The following is a 19,416-nucleotide window of genomic DNA, read 5'->3' on the forward strand; positions in this document are numbered from 1 at the left end:
CCTTGAAGTATGCATATAATTTGCTTCCTTCCTAAGGAAAAATAAGCTCTTGAAAGATAAAGTCAATCACATTAGGAACCCATTTTTAGGGTTTAGCCACTTTTTTTTTTTTTTTTTTTTAACTCATGGGCATCTCTTCTGTTAAGAGACATTCCCCACTCTCCAAGTTTCCCTCAAGCCTGAAGCAGCAGAGTGAGTAGTGTTGGAGCATGTTTTCATTGCATGCTTGGGTCATGTTGAGTGCCCTCCAGTGGATATAGTATAATGCTTGTGATTTTTTTTTTTTTAATTCCAAACAAGTTTATGTGGGATATATTTAGGAATAGTTCTGATGAGGGAGAATCAACTAAGAAACCTTTGATTTCTAAAATAATTAATATCATTACTGCTAATTAAAATACAGGCTTGAGAAAATGTCTTCTCAGCCAATATTTGCAGTAGAAAAGTCGGGAGGTTTTTTAAGGTCACTTTGAGTAGGCAGTTCTGCTTAAATATATCATAATGATAAACCAGAATCTCAGTATAGTACTTTAGGAGGTAAAAGATCATAATATTCAGTTATATTGATGAATTACAGCAACTGAAATTCTCAGAAAAAAATTAATGAAAATGTGAATTGTCAATTTGTCTAAAATCATTCACAGAGTAAAACATAAGTGCTCAACTTGATTATATTAGGAAATAGATAGAAATAAAGGTAATTGAGCCAGTGTATGTGACCTAAAATATAATGCCCTTAGTGACCATAGGGTTGGTCTCATTTGTACATAGTGGTGGGCCATGATGAACTGTGTTTTGCCCTTTGAATTTTTCCTTAAAAAGCTTTCTCTAGGCTCCTATGTTCATGGTTTTTCTGTTAGTAATATTATTTTCTGAAAATCCATGTTTCAAATCAGAATCTAATTAGCAACAGGAATGAAGCTTATTCTAAATTAGTTTTTGGAAGTTAAACGGTCAGCATATGGAAATTTTTCAGGGTTTAGATTTTTAAAAATTTGTTTTTCAGAATATGTTGCTGGAATGAAAACGTTAGCGTAGGGACGGAAAATGACACTTACCAGTGATTGCTTTACTTTGCCTGTGGAATTCAGTGTAATTTTGTGGAAACATTGGTATATGATTTTTTACTACTTAAGAAATGTATTGCTATAGTTAGGGTTTTTTTTTTTTTAAAGGCAAGAATGCCTCAAGTGCTTTATGTGAATGATTATTTCAGGATGGATTAAATATTCCTCCATCAAGGACCATACTTGTAAATCAGTGATTTCCAAGTTGGTGCTTAGTATTTACAGCATTTACTGTCTATAAGCTTCTGTTCTGATTTTTCAAGAGTTTTCTGAGAAATGAGAGTAGGCTTAAAAGTTCTTTGAAAAATTATGTACATACAACTTACTGAAAAAAATTGCTACCGGGGACTTAATTTGTCTCTTGAAATGGGCTACTTGCCTTCATTAATGTAGCATACTACAATTTGATGTTCAAGATATGTTACTAAGAATAAGATCGCTTTCAGAAGCCTTATATAGGATTGGTCTTACTACATTGTAGTGGGAATGGCTACTCAAATGTCTCCAGGGCCAGTTAGGTATTGGGTAAATGGGACCATGCAGACTATTAAAAATTGAAGTGCACATGAAGCAGCCAGTCATAAGCAGCTCCAGCCACTGTGTGGGAATATAGTTTATGTTGCCAGATCATCTGATTTCTTTCCCCTAAGTGGGAAATCCAGATCAATGTACATCTCTTGATTTGCAAGTGTTGGTGAACAAAATTCATATTTTAAGATGCTGTATTCAGCACAAATTAAATACACTTATTTGCTGAATACTGCCAGTTTGTCCCTCTGCAGTAGTACCATTTGAAGTACAGTGTTTTCATAATGATTCTGTGAAATGACTGGTTCTGTGAATGTACATAATTTAGCAGATAACATTGTTAAATTATTAGGTTTGTATTTATTTAGGCACTTGGGAAATGCCTTGTGTCAATTGATTATAGATTAGGAGCTTAAAAGCAAGATTTATATTATCAACTTATTTGTGAAGACTGGGAAACCCACATTTTTAAAGTTAGGAATTAAGATGGCCAGGTTCAAGGAAAAGGGGGAGAAGTAACTTTCTTATTACTCAACCATCTTAAATAGAGTTCTTTAAGTGTATTTTTAAGAGGTCTCAAAACTTAATCTGAAGGGACGTCAAATGCTGGACAAATTCTGTGTATACAACTCAAGTCAGCCCCCAATTTTACTGGTCTTTAAATCATGTCCTTTTTACCAGAAGTTTGCATTTCTAAGCTAAACTATTACTGTTAGACTAGATCCAAAACTTAAAAACAGTTTAGGTAATTAAAAATTAATTGAATATAAACGTTTTACTTAAATTAATGGCAAATGGCTTTTTGGCCAATTTAAGTTTATGTAGGCAGTTAAATCGATTTTGGTTAAATCTTTTGCTGCTAACAAGGTATTTCCAGATTTTGAAAAGTGGGGTGGCCTGGTGCCTGTAGTACCAGCACTTTGGGAGGCTGGGGAGGGTGGATCACCTGAGGTCAGGAGTTCGAGACTAGCCTGGCCGACGTGGTGAATACAAAAATTAGCCAGGCATGGTGGCAGGTGCCTGTGATCCCAGCTGCTTGGAAGTCTGAAGCATGAGAATTGCTTGAACCTGGGAAGCGGAGGTTGCAGTGAGCTGAGATCACGCCACTGCACTCCAGCTGGGGCAACAGAGCGAGACTCCATCTCAAGAAAGAAAAGTGGGGTGTTTAGTCTTCAAACTCCGTGTTTAAGTGACTGGAGTGAAAATGTAAATCATAGGCCGGTGTTGGTTTAAAAAGCATCATCTGAAAATAATGCTGTAGTCTGCAATTATTTTTATTACGATACGATGGTGTAAAATACAAGCAGATCAGTGAACCATTCATGAAACATTAATCCTAAAGGCGTCTCACCCCAAGTCTATCCCACAATCTCCATGAGACTTCGTGGAACCACTGTAAAGTTTCTTGTGTAATATCCCAGAAGTTTCCTACCTCTGGTATCTTTTGAACTTGTTGAAAAGGCTTTTCCACCCCCTCTTTATGATGGTTTGAAGAGTGTGAACATCTGAATGATGCTGGGGTGAAACTGCTTCATAACACTTCCATTTTCTCCCCTATTTATTTCCATATTTTTATTTTTTCACTAATATCCCCACGGTTTTACTTCTGTTTTAGTAATTCACATGTTGCTGGACTAATTCTTTTTAACTGACTTGTAACAGATATGTTAAACCGTTTAAAACTTGGGGGGTATTTTTAACCTACTTTAAGTTAGTTCAAGTTAATCAGTCTACATGGCATATAAACCTTATGATTAATAAATCTTAAATGCTGGTAGCTGAGTTGGAAGCCAAAGACGTACAAAAAAGCTGAAGTGTTAGGTTTAGTGTGATAAGCTTCTCTTACTAACAGGGTTTTGTAATAGCAGAAATAGATATATGCATATATATGTGCATATATATAGCATACCTTATTGGATGTCCATATAAAAATGTGTAAGAAGTTAAATTTACTGCAAAATTTCTTGGGAGTGCAATTTGAAGATGATCTTAAGTGGTGATAGTAGTTTGCTACACTGGGGGATAGTTGTTGCAAACTGCTCCTAATTTTCCTTTACTGTGAAGTAAACTGAACAGCTGTAATAGGGATTAGGAACTGTACTCCCTCTCTCTCTTTTTTAAGTATAATTAAGTGGTTTTGGGGTAAGGGTGTAGGGAGTGAGTGTCTTTGAAGTTTTGCATATACTAGATGAATGCCACATGTATAAGGGAGGAACAAGGGATTCTTGGAAATATTTTTCAATCCAAGTAACTTTGGAGGCTTCCAAGTGGAGTTCATTCCCCTGTGTAGGAAAGTGCTGGGGTAGACCCTTAAATTCCTTTCTGAGCCATTGAAAGAATGTCCTCAAACTTCGCTTATACTTTATAGTTCATTTAGATACAAAAGTTACAAACTGAATGCTATTTAGGAAACGTAATACACTGACATACCGCTCTTTAAATAGATTATAAATTTAGTATATCAATTTTCTGGCATTTTGCTGAATTTTATTGTTTAGTTTTCAAGCCCAACTATCTTGTTACTTTGTATATCGTAGTTGTCCCCCGTTGATCACTGTTTCCTGCTTAATTGTGCTGTCGTTTTTCCTGGGTCCTGATTCAGAGTGTCAGCATTCTGTTCCCCATAGAATAAGAAGAGGCTAGAAAGTTTACAGATGAGATATCTAGGAATGCCAGAAGATCAGGGGTCACCGTTGAGGCAGAGTAATTAATTATGGTTAAAATGGTGTTGCTGATAAGTGGGTGCTGGGAAATAATTAAAATTTGATTTTTTAGAAGAATACTTCTCATGCTTGAAGAGCGCCCTCATTATATGCTAAAGGGCCTCAGGTTTTTCCTTATTGCCATTATGCTGCAGATTCTATTACATTTGTCTGAAAAGATCTAAGACAGAAGGGCTGTTTAATACCTTCCCTTTTCTCCTGAACTTCCCCTCTCCTCTCCCCCATCAGGAGCTAAGTAGGAACCCCTTCACCTTGTTACCATCAGATTTCATCAATGGTCTGTCTTTACAATGAAGGAAGTAGTACTGCATTCTGGGCAGAGGCCAGTCCTGAGGCATGCCTTTTCAAGGACATTGTTACTTTAGTTACACTGGCTCTTCTGTTTTAACTCTTATCCCCCAGACTCTAATCCTGTTGCTTTTTTTGGTCCCCATCTCCCACCTTTCATCATCTGAAATCCATTCATTGTAACTTCTGGAACTCAGTCGTTAGAAAATCCTTTATATTCTCAATCTTGTGAATGTTCCTTTCTTTCTTATTCCAGCTGTAACCTAGCCTTCTCCCCAAGAATGCTACTTCCCTTGCAGCTCTCTCAAGTGGTGAATTTTTCCCTTCTTGCACACCTTATAACACTGAACTAGGAGGTGTGTGGACTAAATGTCTGCTTTTGTTCCTTATTGTCACTTCTTGACCTTTATTTTCCAAAACTTCAAGCTTTGACTTTCATGTGATCAAATTATACCACCCACTGCCTGTCTTTATTTCAAGCACCTGCAAACCTTCCTGGGTCATTCACATCCTTCTTTGTTCACTTCATTAGCTCTTGGCTCATTGTCACTGTCTCTTATTTCTGTCATAATTCTTGGTGACATCAGTATCTATGTAGAGCAATACTAGTGAAGATGTGGTCTGGTAACTGTTACCTGTATGAATTAAGATAAGGAGTTATGCCAGAATATAAGTCACCTGTGTCACTAAGTTTACTGTTTAGCTTACTTTTTTTGTAGCAAGATTTTGATGAAGGACGCAATATGTTGATTTACAGTCTGGTACAAATTTTGATGTAGAAGATGCTTCCAATATCCTGGTCTCTTAGTTCCTTGATTTCTTCTCCAGTGATCTTATTTTCTACCCTAACTCAACTACATATTCCCATTGTCATATCCTAGAATATTTTGTCTTTTATCTGTAACTCTGCTCTCTTCCCCCAATCTCATTTCAAGCATCCCACTTTCTAATTCCTCTAGTAAATACGTCAGTTCCAACAGCCCATCAATCCCATTGGGACCTACAGTTTATCTATCCAAGCTTTTCCCTGTTCCTCACCCTCACTTCTATACAGCTGAAGTTTCATACTGAATTATAATCACTTTCTCGTATACACGTTTAACAATCTTGTCCCTCCCTGGCTTCATGCCCAGTGATCTCTTGTATCTATGACCATGTCCTTTATCTTCTCCTCTGTCACTGGATGAACTGTAGCCTTCCAAGATAAGGCCACTCAGTTCATTTGTACAGCAGATTCCATCCCCTCTTGCTCTCAAGAATATTACTGTGGTATCTCTCTTTTCTTGTCTCTACTGGCTCTTTCCATGAGCAAACATGGTATTATCCCATTACAAAAAAAATTTTTTCTCCGTCTCTCCTTCCACTCACCACCTCAGTCTCTGCTTCTCTTTCCCGCAAAATAACCTTGAAAAATTGCTTTATGTACTCCCGTTTTCTTTTGAACCCCTGCCAGTGACCACCACGTTATAAATTTGTAGTTGTCATCTCACTTAATCTGTTAGTAGTATTTGGCACCATTGCTACAGTTGCTTGAAATGCCTTTTCATTGGTTTCCAGGCCACCATGTCTGTTAGCAGCTTTTCCTCTTACTTCACTAGCATTTCCTTCTTTGTTTTTTCTGTTATCTTTCTGACCTCTGTTGGAGTGGCTGAAGGTTTAGTCCTTGAATCTTTTTTTGTTGTGCATATTTACTCCAGTATCATAGCTTTATACAGATGGTATTTACATCTGTTTGCTAACGATTTCCAAATTGGTATCCTTAAACTGGTATCCAGCTATTTTTTGGTCAGCATTTTGGATGTCTAAGAAGCTTCTCAAACTAAACTGACCTCCCGGTTTTCCCCAAAGCTGCATCTTAGTCTTTTCCGAAATGCAATTCTGTCTTTCCAGTTACCTAGCTTAAAAGCTTGCAGTTCTTGACTCATCTTTCTCTCATACCACGTATCTGAATTCTCTCTGCAAAAAATTGTCTGTTCTCCCTTCAGAATAAAGTCACGTGTCATTTTATGATGGGGATACATTCAGAAATGCGTCATTAGGAGATAATCATGGTTGTGTGAACATCAGAGTATACATAGACAAACCTAGATGGTATAGCCTACTACACATCTAGGCTATATGGTGTGGCCAATTACTATGATGAATACTGTAGGTAATTGTAACATAAAGGTAGGTATTTTTATCTAAACGTATTGAAACATAGAAAAAGTACAGTAAAAAATATGGTATCAAAAATAAAAAATGGTACAACTGTATAAGGCAGTTGTGATGAATGGAGCTTGCAGGATATGTTGCTCTGGGTGAGTCAGCGAGTGACGATTGAGGGAACGTGAAAGATGTGGGACATCACTGTACACTACTGTAGACTTTATAAACACTGTACACTTGGGCTACACTACATTTTTGTAAGGTTTTAAAAGACTTTTTTCTATAATAAACCTTAAATTACTGTCACTTTTTTACTTTATGAATTCTTAATTTTTTAAACGTTTTCACTCTTGTAATAACACGTAGCTTAAAACATACATTGTACAGCTGTACAAAAATTTTCTTTATATCTTTATAAGCTTTTTTATATTTTTAAAATTACTTTTTACCTTTTAGCTTTTTTGTTGAAAAACTAAGACATGGGCCAGGCGCGGTGGCTCACGCCTGTAATCCCAGCACTTTGGGAGGCTGAGGCAGGCGGATCACGAGGTCAGGAGATAAGAGACCATCCTGGCTAACATGGTGAAACCCCGTCTCTACTAAAAATACAAAAAATTAGCCGGGCGTGGTGGCGGGCACCTGTAGTCCGAGCTACTTGGGAGGCTGAGGCAGGAGAATGGCGTGAACCCAGGAGGCGGAGTTTGCAGTGAGCCGAGATAGCGCCACTGCACTCCAGTCTGGGCGACAGAGCGGAAACTCCGTCTCAAAAAAAAACAAACAAAAAACTAAGACATGAACACATTAGCCTAGGCCTACAGAGGGTCAGGATCATCAGTATCACTGTATTTCCATCTCCACATCTTGTCCTTCTGGAATGTCTTCAGAGGCAGTAAACATAAATGGAGCTGCCACCTCCTGTGATAACAGTGCCTTCTGGAATACCTCTTGAAGGACCTACCTGTGGCTGTTTTATAGTTAACTTTTTTTTTTTAAGAAGTAACAGAAGGAGTACACTCTAATGATAAAAAGTATAGTAAGTACATAAACCTGTAACAATCATTATCATTATCAAGTGTCATGTACTGGACATAACTGTATATGCTATACTTTTTTTTTTTGAGATGGCATCTCACTCTGTCACCCAGGCTGGAGTGCAGTGGTGCGAGGATAGCTCACTGTAACCTCAGACTCCTGGGCTCAAGTGATCCTCCTACCTCAGCCTCCCAAGTAGCTGGGACTACACCAGGCACCCCACCATGCCTGGCTAATTAAAAAAAATTTTTTGTAGAGACAGGGTCTCACTCTGTTGCCAGGGCTGGCCTTGAATTCCTGGCATCAAGTAATCCTCCCACTTTGGCCTCACAAAGTGCGAGGATTACAGGTAAGAGCCACCATGTCTGGCCCACTGTACTTTTATACAACTGAAGCACAGTAAACCTACTGTGGTTTCGTTTACACCAGCATCACCACAAACACCATGAGTAGAACATTGTGCTGCGACGTTAACGATGGCTACAACATCACTAGGTGATAGGAATTTTTCAGCTCCATTATAATCTTATGAGACCACTGTTGTATGTGCAGTTCATCATCCACTGAAATGTCCTTATGTGATGCATGTCTTCATATCCAAAAATATTAATCATTTCTCACTGAAGCCATGCCATGCCATGCCATCTTTTGCCTGTATTATTATTTTTCAGCTTTTATTTTAGATTCAGGGTGTACATGTGCAGGTTTGTTAGAAAGAGTATATCGTATGATGCTGAAGTTTGGGATACAGTTGAACCAGTCACCCAGGTAGTGAGCATAGTACTCAATAGATAACGTTCTAACATTACTCCTCCTTCCCTCCCTGTTCTTGTCTCTGTCTATTGTATCTTTATGTCCATGTGTACCAAATGTTTAGCTCATTCTTGTGAGAACATGTGGCATTTGATTTTGTTTCTGTGTTAATTTGCTTACAATAAATAGTCTCCAGCTGCATCCACATTGCTACAAAGGACATGATTTTGTTCTTTTTTATAGGCTGCATCATATTCCATGGTGTATAGGTACCACATTTTCTTGATCCAGTCTACCGTTCATGGGCATTTGGGTTGATTGTATCTTTGCTATTATGGATGGCTTTTGCCTATATTATTGGAAAGGCCTTCTAACTGGTGTCCCTGCTTACACCGTTTTCCCCCTTAAATGTGTTTTCAACATGGTAGCCAGAGTAACCCTTTTTATAACAATAAATCGTGTAACTTTTTTGTTCAGAAACTTACAGGGCTTACCATTTCATTCAGTAAAAGCTCAAGCTCCTGTATAGTCAGACCATATCCTTCATCACCTGTTACTTTTCTCCTCTGACTCTTCAGCCTTTTTGTTTTTCCTCAAACTGATGAAGCCTTCATGGCTGATGTCAGATGTTTTGCCCATTGAGATCTTCCTTGTTGACTCAGTTGCACTTGGTCATATGATTTTCATTTATTTGGGGTATCTAATCATAATCTGAAAGTTGGCTACTTATTTTTACCCCTTTGAGGGTCCTTGCCCTGTTTTTGTATCCCTGATAGCGGGACAGCCAGATATCTGGAACTTACAGGTGTTCAATAAAGTTTTGTTGAATGAATATTCTGGAATCACCCAACCTTTTTTTTCCCCTCCACTTATTTTTCTTCTCCCTTTCACGGCCTGAAAGATGTCCTATGTATATGGTTCCACTTATCACTCTCATCCCAGTTTGTGATATACTATTCCATTATATTACTATTATTAATACAATTCCATTGAACTTGCTCTTGCTGACTTCACCACTGGACCTACATGTTGGCCAAATGGATACTTTATAATTTTAGTCTTGACCCCTGCCTTTGGCACATTTCTTACCTCTAGCACAGCACTGTCCAGTAATCCACACTTTCTGAGACAGTGGAAATGTTCAGTATCTGTGCTGTTCAGTTGGTAGCAACCAGCTACCCATGCCTATTAAACATTTGAAATGTGGCTGTGTGACTAGTGGCAATTATGTTGGAGAGTACAGTTTTAGAAACTCCTGTTTTTCTTACATGGCACTACATTTAGTATCACAATCTAATTGTGCAAGCCAGATAGGTAGGAGTCATCTTTATTCCTGTTATTTAATTTTTCTCATCTACTATATCCAGTTCATCACATCAACAGCGCCTGTTGTTTCTACCTCCTAAATATTTCTTTAGTCTAACTACTACTTGTCCCTAGTGCCACCACCATCTATCAGCTGGAATATTGCTATAGCTGCCTTACAGGTTTCCCTTCTTTCCTGTTCTCTTCTAGTTTTTTGAATTTTAGTCAGCACGAGATTTTAAAAACTCAAATAAGATTGTGTTATTCACCTGCTTAAAACCTTTCATGACTTTCAGTGTCACGTAGAACAGAAAACACTTTTCTTACCAAAGGCTAGAGAGCTCTACGTGATCTGGCTATTTTTAACGTTTCATTGCACTCACCCTTTTCCTCTATAATCAAACTACTCTGATCTCAAGGGTTAGTTCTTGAAAGATGATCATGTTCTTTAATGACTTTAGGTTTTTGTGTGTTATTTTCTATTTCTGGGATGTTTATTCTCTGTTCCTTACATGCTGGCCCTTTTGCATCCTTCTTCAGGTCTCAGCTTACATGTTACCTTCAAGAAGCCTTTGACCACTCTAAGTGGGCCCTTCCTTCCACTTCTGCTGTGTAATCCCACTCCCTTCTCCCACTTGTTAATTAGTTACATACTTTTTTGTAATTGTTTATTTGGTTGCTGTCTCCCTCTCAAGAATGCAGGGACCATGTCTGCATTCTGCAGTAATCACTACTGCACACCCAGAATCTATTACAGATCCTGGCATGTAGCTGATGCATAAATATTTGTTGAATGAAAGTCTGTACATTGTATTTATGCTATTGGTATTGCTATGACCTGAAACTAAAAGGAGTTGTGGAAAAGATTTCTTATGGAACAGAAATATCCCTTTTGATTAATATCACAATCTCGTAAATTGAGAAAACAAAAAAATATATACTACTGGAGCATTCATGTATAGTTGGAGATTATGACTCATTTATTGGTGTGTTTTTGGACTCAGAACAAAGATGAGGGAATATTCCTTAAAGCTCTGTATTGAAATAACGAAAAGCAGTCACATTTTAATAATAGAAGCTTCCTAGCTTACTCTTTCTGTAATCTTCTTTTCCTAAATGTAAGAGAGCCTCATAATTATGAGGCTTATTACTAGAGTAAGGCTGTCAAAGGCAGCAAAATGTCTTTCTGTTTGGAAGAATAACATAAACTTGACATGTATGGTGGGGGACAGAAGGTTTCAAAAGTTTAAGAATCTGTGTTGTCTTAACAAATAGATGCTTCTCAAGGAGCTTACGCTAGTGGTTACTCTGTCCAGTCAGGGTTTTTTCTTCTTTAACTTGGGTTCATTTCCTGATGGCACACATGAAGTTTGGATCATATGGTTTGACTTTAGCTATGGTCCTTAGCTATGGGGAGCAGCATCAGCGACCTGTGACATGTAAATTAAAAATACAATGCCAGGGCCCTTCCCCAGCCCCTCTGATAGAGAACCTCTTGGCCATCTGTATTTTTAGATGTTCCAGGTTAGTCTGATTAACACCCTTGGTTAAGAACCATTGGGAGGATCTGATTGCCAGTTTAAGGGGACCTTCAAGCCTGTAGGTCTTTATAGTTAAAAAAAAAAAAAGATTTTAAAAATCATGCATATGTTGTGGCTGAATTCTGGTTTAGCACATACTGCTTTTAATGGCCTGAAATGTTTTTCCCAAATAAATTGTCTTGTTATAGCTTTCATGTGTGATTTGGTCCAGCTTCTTGTTTTGAAGATACTTACGGGGGGGAACACTTTGTGATTTCTCTTAGTAACATATTAACCCACTTAAAAACCCTTTCTATTACAGGTCTTCACATTTAGGCTTAATGTGCTTAATTCAAATGTAAAAATACACCTGCCTTTGTTCTCAGTGAAAGTATGTAATAAATAAATGAGGGGTTGGCAAACTACTGCCCACCATCTGTTTTTTTATGGCCTATGAACTAAGAATCGTTTTGGATAGCTAAAAAAAAAAATCAAAAGGATAATTATTTTGTGACGTGAAAATTATATGAAATTCAAATTTCAGTTTCTGTGAATGAAGTTTTAATGGAACACAGCCATCCATGCTTATGTAAGTGTGCATATTCTCTGGCTGTTTTCACTGCAATAGCAGAGTTGAGTAGTTGTGACAAAGAGTTTATGGCCCACAAAACCTAAAATATTTACTTTCTGATGCTTTACAGAAAAAGTTTCCTGAACCTTATTCTAGCTATATGTTGTTCATAAATGAATCTTTCGTGGTTCTGAAGGCATTTAAGAATCTCTTAGGTTATAAATTGGCTGGGCGCAGTGGCTCACGCCTGTAATCCCAGCACTTTGGGAGGCCGAGGCTGGTGGATCACGAGGGCAGGAGTTCAAGATCAGCCTAGCCAAGATGGTGAAACCCTGTCTCCATTAAAAAAAAAAAAAAAAAAAAAAAAATAGCTGGGGTTGGTGGTGGGCAGTAATCCCAGCTACTCGGGAGGCTGAGGCAGAGAATTGCTTAAACCCAGGAGGCGGAGGATGCAGTGAGCCAAGATCGCGCCACTGCACTCCAGCCTGGGCAACAGAGTGAAACACCATCTCAAAAAAAAAAAAAAAAAAAAAACACTCTTAGGTTATAAATAATTGTTGTTAGCTCTCCAAGCCTCCATATTACATTTTGTGTGTTCTCCTGTTCACATTTTGAGCATTTTATTTTTTATTAGCACATTCAGTTCATCAGGTATTTAAGAGCTTAATATATGCCAAAGCATATATTAAGCGAGAAGCTGTTTCTAAATGTACTGTCTCAGCCCTCACAGAGTTCACTTCATTAGGCTCTTTAAAATTTCTTTCTTTAAAAGGTCAGCGTGCTGGTATAGTGGGGAAGGGAAACTCTTACAACACGTCGAGTAGAGGAAGGTTATCATTATGGGATATAATTTGGAAGTCATTGAGTACCTGCCATTAATTCTGCCTGTAGTCTGAATGTAGAGATTAACATGTAGAAACTTTTTTGAAATAAAATCTTCAATTTCTTTGGCATATCTAGTACTGTCTAGCTAGGCATATAGTCAAAGTATGGTGTATATTTCAAGTATTAAAAGTTTTTTTGGGCTGTAGTCACTGTTGAAAGGATATAGTTCTTTACTATTACATGTGATACCTTTATATAAAATTGGCTAACCCCTGTCTTTCATTTATCTGCAACACTGACTGTTACCAGTTGTCTCTAACTTTGGTATGGGGGGTGGAAATATGATTAGATTGAAAGGGTACATGACTGAGCCACAAGCAGACCTGGATTTGAATTTTAACTGAACGGTTTATTAGCTATTCTTACATTAATACTGCTAATCAGTTTTCTTGTGATATGAGGAATGATGTCTTCTTTATGAGGTTGCTAGGAAGATTCAATGAGATAACATACTAGGCTCAGAACTGAAGTTGCTAGGAATTTAATTATGCTACCTTGTTAAAGTATGTCAAAGGCAGAATTCAGTGTTTAGCTGATACCACAAGGCAGTATCCTAAAATTATGCTGTAAAAGATATAAAGATGCTGTAAGTGACTCAGAAACCTAGTGACTTTGTAATGCAGTTGATTCTTAGAATACTGTCACTTTAACAGAATAGGAGCTAGGAATGAAGAAATAGTTATTAAATTACTAAAATAGAAAATTTATTGACACATGTAAAGTGACATTTGCTTAAATATTGAAAAATTTGTAGTACTATTTCCTTGCTTTAGAAAACATTGGTTACCACTTTTTTTATTTATAGCAGTTTGTTTTTGCCTTGAGGCAAGATGGTTGACTGAGTAGTTGCCACATTTCTTTTGTACAAAGTCCATTTCATAGGCCATCTAGCTTTTATGCTTAGAAACATTTCCTTAACGTTATATTTCAGTATTTGGCTAACCTATATAGGGTTAAATTATATAGGCTAACTTCTCGGACAGATATTTCTAATAATTTATGTATTTGGTTCTGCAAATGTATGCAAAAATATATGTACAAAGGTATGCAGATGCCTTGCATACTTGATATATGTTAAATTTTTTTTAATGTAGACCTTTTTCGTTCTCTTTAATGACTATATGGTATTCCACCATCCCCCGCTCACCTGGACAACTACAGTAACCTCCTAAATGGTGTTTCTACTTTGCTATTGCCCCTTATTGTCTTTTTTCCCCTTTATAGCTGCTGGAGTGAATTTTAGAAAGCCTAAGTCATACATCACATTGCTTCATGGGCATCCCAGTACACTTTGGATTTTATTTTACATCCTTACTGATCTGATTCTCATCTCTGTCTCTTCATGGTTCTCTGCCTTCTAGTTACACTGGTGACCTTTCAAAACCTTTACCACATTGAGTTCATTCCTTACTTTTCACTCTTTCTCTGCCTGGAGTGTTCTGCCCCATCTTTACGTGGCCAGCTGCTCCTCCTCTGATGAAATGTCTCTTCCTCACAGGCCTTCCCTGACCACCCACTAGAGTAGCACATCTTCTACCTCATAAACTTGTTTATTAGTATTTCTTACTCTAAATTTTCTTTTAAATTGCTTAATTCCCTAACAGTAGAATATAAGCTTCACTGTATGTATGATCTTGTTGACTCTCTTACTCATTGTTATTGTAATACCAGTAACAAAGGGTGTTTAAAATTTGTTCAGTGGGTGAATATATGTTCCATTTAATGGATAAATTATTTTTTATTCAGTCTCCTGTTGATGGACATTTGAATAATTTCCATCTTTTTCTCTATGAATGCCTCACTTGGCATGCTTCTGACAGTATTGCCACAGAATACATTTCTGTTATAAAAATTGAATTTTTAAGTCAAAGGGTAGTTACACTTTAATGGATAGTGGCAGCTTACTATCAAAAGTTTCTGCTAGTTTCACCATATCCTTATTAGCAGTAGATATTATCAATCTTTTCAATCTTTGCCAATCTGATAAGCAAAAAGTAAATGGGTTTAAACATCCTTTGTATATATTCATTGCTCACTTTATGTTTTTCCTTTGAAATGTTATTTCTTGTTCTTTCCCTGCAGTATGATTCTTTCTTTTTTTGACTTGTTCCCAGTTTTTTGTGTACTATGGATATTAGCCTTTAATTATGTTACGGATGTTCTAGTATGTTATTTTTTGAATTACTTCAAATGTGATTTGTTGCTCAGATTTTAAAAACTACATACACAAATTATCTCATGTTTCCCTTTTTGGTTTCAATTTCGACTCATGCTTAATCAGTTCATCGATTGGGCATGGTTTTATTCTTAATATATACCCGTATTTTATCTCATTTTATTTTTTTACGTGTAAATATTTGGTGAATATAGGTTTAATTTTAATGTAAAATAAGGATGAAAAATGATAGTTGGAATTACAAGCCCATTTCTCCTAATACTTTTAATCAAGTAATCCACTAATTGAAATATTACCTTCTTCATTTATGAAATTGCCACATTATATCTGGGTGTTTTTCTGCCTACTACAGTCTCTTACCCATTTCTTTCCTAATAATACAATACTTGAATTGCTGTGGTTGTTGATTTATAATGTTATCTTAATGATAACATTATAAATGTGATGGAACTGGTTCCTCCTTATAGTTCTTCTTAAATCAAGAACAAGACATATCTTCCCATTTACTCTCGTATGTATCTCATTTTACTGTTATGAATGAAATCTGTCCTATTTGTGTATAGGAAAATAGTTTTTGTATGTAATTGTGATATGGCCAGTTTTATTAAAAATTTGGTTAAACTAAGAGTTGTTTTCTGTTCAGCCTTATCATACTATAAAATCCACATAAAATGGGTATAAAAGTGTCGCAGGACACTGGGCTCAGATGATTCTCCCACCTCAGCTTCCCAAGTAGCTGGGACTACAGCGGCATATGCCACCACACCCAGCCAATTTTTAAATAAGTTTTAAAAATAGTATTTTTAGTAGAGACAGGGTTTCACCATGTTGCCCAGGCTGGTCTTGAACTCCTGGACTCAGACAATCCACCTGCCTTGGCTTCCCAAAGTGTTGGGATTACAGGTGTGAGCCACCACACCTTGCCGAATTGCAGCCATATTTAATACTTTTTTCCATCCTATTCCCTTTGCTGCCCCCAGGCCTCCTGTATTGATAGCCCGCTATTAAGAAGCTAGTGTATATTCTTTGCATACTTTTACTTCATAAACTATATGAAGCATTGTTCTGTTTTTTAACTTAATTGGTATAAAATTATATTTTGGAAATTCAGTATATTCTGTGAAAATTATTTAGAAAATGTGCCTCTGAGATAAAGCCTATTCAGGATGTATCTTAAAGGAGATAGCTGTGCTTTAACATTATCAGTCTTTTTGGCTGCTTATGTTAATATAAGTTGGAGAAAAACAGTCTGCTTTTTGTGATAATATGTTCTTGGAGATGGAGTGAAAGATTGTTTAAAAACATTGTCTTTTTTTTCCCCTGAAGTACCAGTATTTATTTTAGGATTATGTTACTGATCAAAGATGCTGTGTGGAGTTACTCATTGGTGAGACTAACAATAAATCACACATGCAAAGGATGTTACCATAATCTAATTATTTTAAACAGTAAAATTATATTCTAAGACATCCAGTTGGCCTATATGTGCTATATCAATGACTATCAAGGGGCTTTTTATGTATACTGTATACATGTACTTCACAAAAATATAAAAGGATGACATCAAAAATCTGGCAAGCCAAAAGCCTACATTACATGTAGCAAATAAATAAGCATATGAACTTATTGGAATTTAAAACCCTGTAGGATGGGCGGGTGATGGTATGTATGTTAGATGTGTGGACATATCTATTAAAAGTTGTGTCAGATAACAGCTGGTGCTGACAAGCCCTTGGTAAGATGGCAGCATGTTCAATATGTTCTGTGAAAATTATCTCAGTTTATGATCTGTCAGTATTGTGGAGCTATGCATGAAAGGACTTAAAATTCTTACCCTTAAACTCAGTAACAGTGTTTCTAGAACTTCTGGTGATATGGGAAATTAAGAGAATTATTTATATGCAAAGGTGTTTATTGCAGCATTGTTGGAATAATAGACAAAATGGGGAAGAACAAGCTCAGAATGGAGGAGGTAGCTTATAGTATAGACATACGATACAATCCAGATGATAATATTTTATAATAGTCTTCACAAGGAATTTTATATTTTTATTTTTAAAAATACATAGCAGTGAGTTTAATATACCAAACATACCAAAATGTCATCATTTACTGTGTGGTGGACTCATATGATGGAGATGATAAATAAAAATATTAATTTATTTGAGGCATATATTTATGGCTGAGGAAGGAAGACAGTTATGAAGAACAGCTCATTCTGGAAACATACTAATTTTTCCCAGCCATAAAGAGATTTCCTATTTCTTTTTTTTTTCCATTTACCTTCTGTTTCCTACCTGAGAAGATTTCATACTTCTAATAACCATTTGTGTACCTATTTAAAGACAGTACCAAAGGCATACATTTTAGTGTTTGGAGGACCAAGGGTCATTTGATGTTTGATGCTTATTGACTATTCGAGGATGACAAGACACCTTGAGAACACACACACCCACACCCACACCCACACCCTCACCCACCCACCCCACCCCCCTCCCCGAAGAAAGCTGTGAAGGAAGAAAGCAGAAAAGAACCTGGAGTGAGTTGTAACTTAAAATGTTAGTGTTGCATGAAGTGTGTTAAAACAGGAAGATTTGAGGAAATTGCATACATTTTCTAGATGGCAAAGTATTACTGGTGACAGTTAATGAAAATGCATATGCATGTGTTTTTAGATTTACAAATTTTACTAAGAACTTTTTAAAAATCCCTGAAGGTGTATCAAAAGTTTATCATGCTTATGAAATAGAGTAGCACTTTCTAACTTTAAAACGGGGAATAATTCTTTGGATCTTGATTATTGGAAAAGTGAATTATGAATTGCTAGTATAAAACTGTGGTTTTAAAATATGTCTGCTTTATATTTTTATGTAGCAGATTTACTCCTAGTTAATAATACTCAAACTTACTGAAAACTAAGGTAATTAAGATAATTCTGTCCTGATGGGAAGAGGAAAAATAACTTCAGTGTGAAATCTATTATATATTAGTTGTGGCAAGATTTCTCCCATTGACTTTGACTGGAGACATTTATAGGGTTAAAATCGGAAATAGCACGGTGAATTTTGAAGTATCCTTGTAGTTGGAAAGAGTATTATGTTCATATTGCCAAAAAAAAGATGCATGGATGCATTAGACTGGATGGAAAATACATGAGAAGTTGGCTAGCCCCCTCTTTGTCAAAACATCACTTGGTGGTGATAAAGCTGTTGGAAAACACAGCATTCTAATGTAGTCTGTAGTTTAATGATAATCTGTGTCTTGAAACATTTAGCGTAGTACTTATACAAACCTAGATGGCATAGTGTACTGCATGCCTAGCCTATATAGTATAGCCTGTTGCTTCTAGGGTGTAAAGCTGTATAGCGTGTTACTATAGGCAGTTGAAACAGTGGTATTTATGTATCCTTTTTTTTTTTTTTAAATTCTTTTAAGAGACAGGGTCTTGCTCTGTTGCCCAGGCTGGATGCATTGGTGTGATCATAGCTCACTATAACCTTGAACTCCTAAGTGATCCTCTTTGCCTCAGCCTCCCCAGTGGCTAGGACTACAGGCACATACTACCACACCTGGCTAATTTTTAACATTTTTTTGTAGAGATGGAATTTCGCTGTGTTGTCCAGGCTGGTCTTGGAACTCTTGTGCTGCAGCAATCCACCCGCCTCCCAAAGTGTTAGAATTACAAGCCACTTCGCCTGGCTTGTTTACCTAAACATAGAAAAGATCCAGTAAAAATACAGAATTAAAATCTTGTGGGGCCACTGTAGCATATGTAGTCCATCTTGACTGAAATGTCCTTATGCAGTGCATGATTGTACTTCATAATTTTTAAGCACTCCTCCCTCTTGATTGGTACTTAGTGGATTTTATCATTTTTGTTTCTTCATAATTCTTTCTGAAATGTCTACTGGTTGGACCTTTGATCTCCTGAATTGATCGTGATTTCTTCTGTTGTATTTTTTGTCTTTGTCATTTTTTTGTACTCTAGGCAGTTTTCTCAATTTTAGTTTCTATTCAACTTTTTGTTTTTATTTATTCTCTCCAGTATTTATGGAGATACTAAATTGAAGTGTTCTGTTTCTCTCTCCACCCTATCCCTAGTTTCAAGTTTTATCTCAGTTTCTATGGAGTCAGTTTTTTCGTTGCTTTAAAAAAAAATTTTCCTGAAGTGATTGGTAAGTTTTGGCTAATTGGGAGCACTAGAATTGGGCCCTTAATGGTTGGCAGGGTGTGGTGGAGGAGAGACAGCCCTTAGTCCAAAGGCTCAGGCCAGAAAAAGAAAGAGGAAGGCTTTCCTTTTCCTTTCCGGAGCAGGGTTCTGCCCTAGGTCTTGCTTGGCAGTCTATTTGATTTCTTTAGCAGTTAATGCTCAGTTTTTTGGCATATGTGGATCTGCCTCCAGAGCAGGTACAAGGTGAGT

General features: G+C 36.8%; 1 protein-coding gene across 14 annotated transcripts in view; it reads left to right on the forward strand.

The window, feature by feature from the left end:
* The window catches only part of CTNNB1 (catenin beta 1), a 40,939-nt gene that overhangs the window by 3,431 nt on the left and 18,092 nt on the right, over positions 1 to 19,416 (forward strand). For 2 of the 14 annotated variants that reach the window (XM_024453356.2, NM_001438873.1), the window contains exon 2: positions 19,399 to 19,410. The exons of 10 other annotated variants lie outside the window; for them this stretch is intronic. The gene's annotated coding sequence lies outside the window, so the exon portion shown is untranslated. Of the gene's footprint in view, positions 1 to 121; positions 19,411 to 19,416 lie in introns of those variants that run through there. 2 more of the 14 variants (XM_047447482.1, XM_047447479.1) reach the window with 1 other exon arrangement.

Source organism: Homo sapiens, chromosome 3, assembly GCF_000001405.40.
Source record: "Homo sapiens chromosome 3, GRCh38.p14 Primary Assembly".
Lineage (NCBI taxonomy): Eukaryota > Metazoa > Chordata > Mammalia > Primates > Hominidae > Homo > Homo sapiens.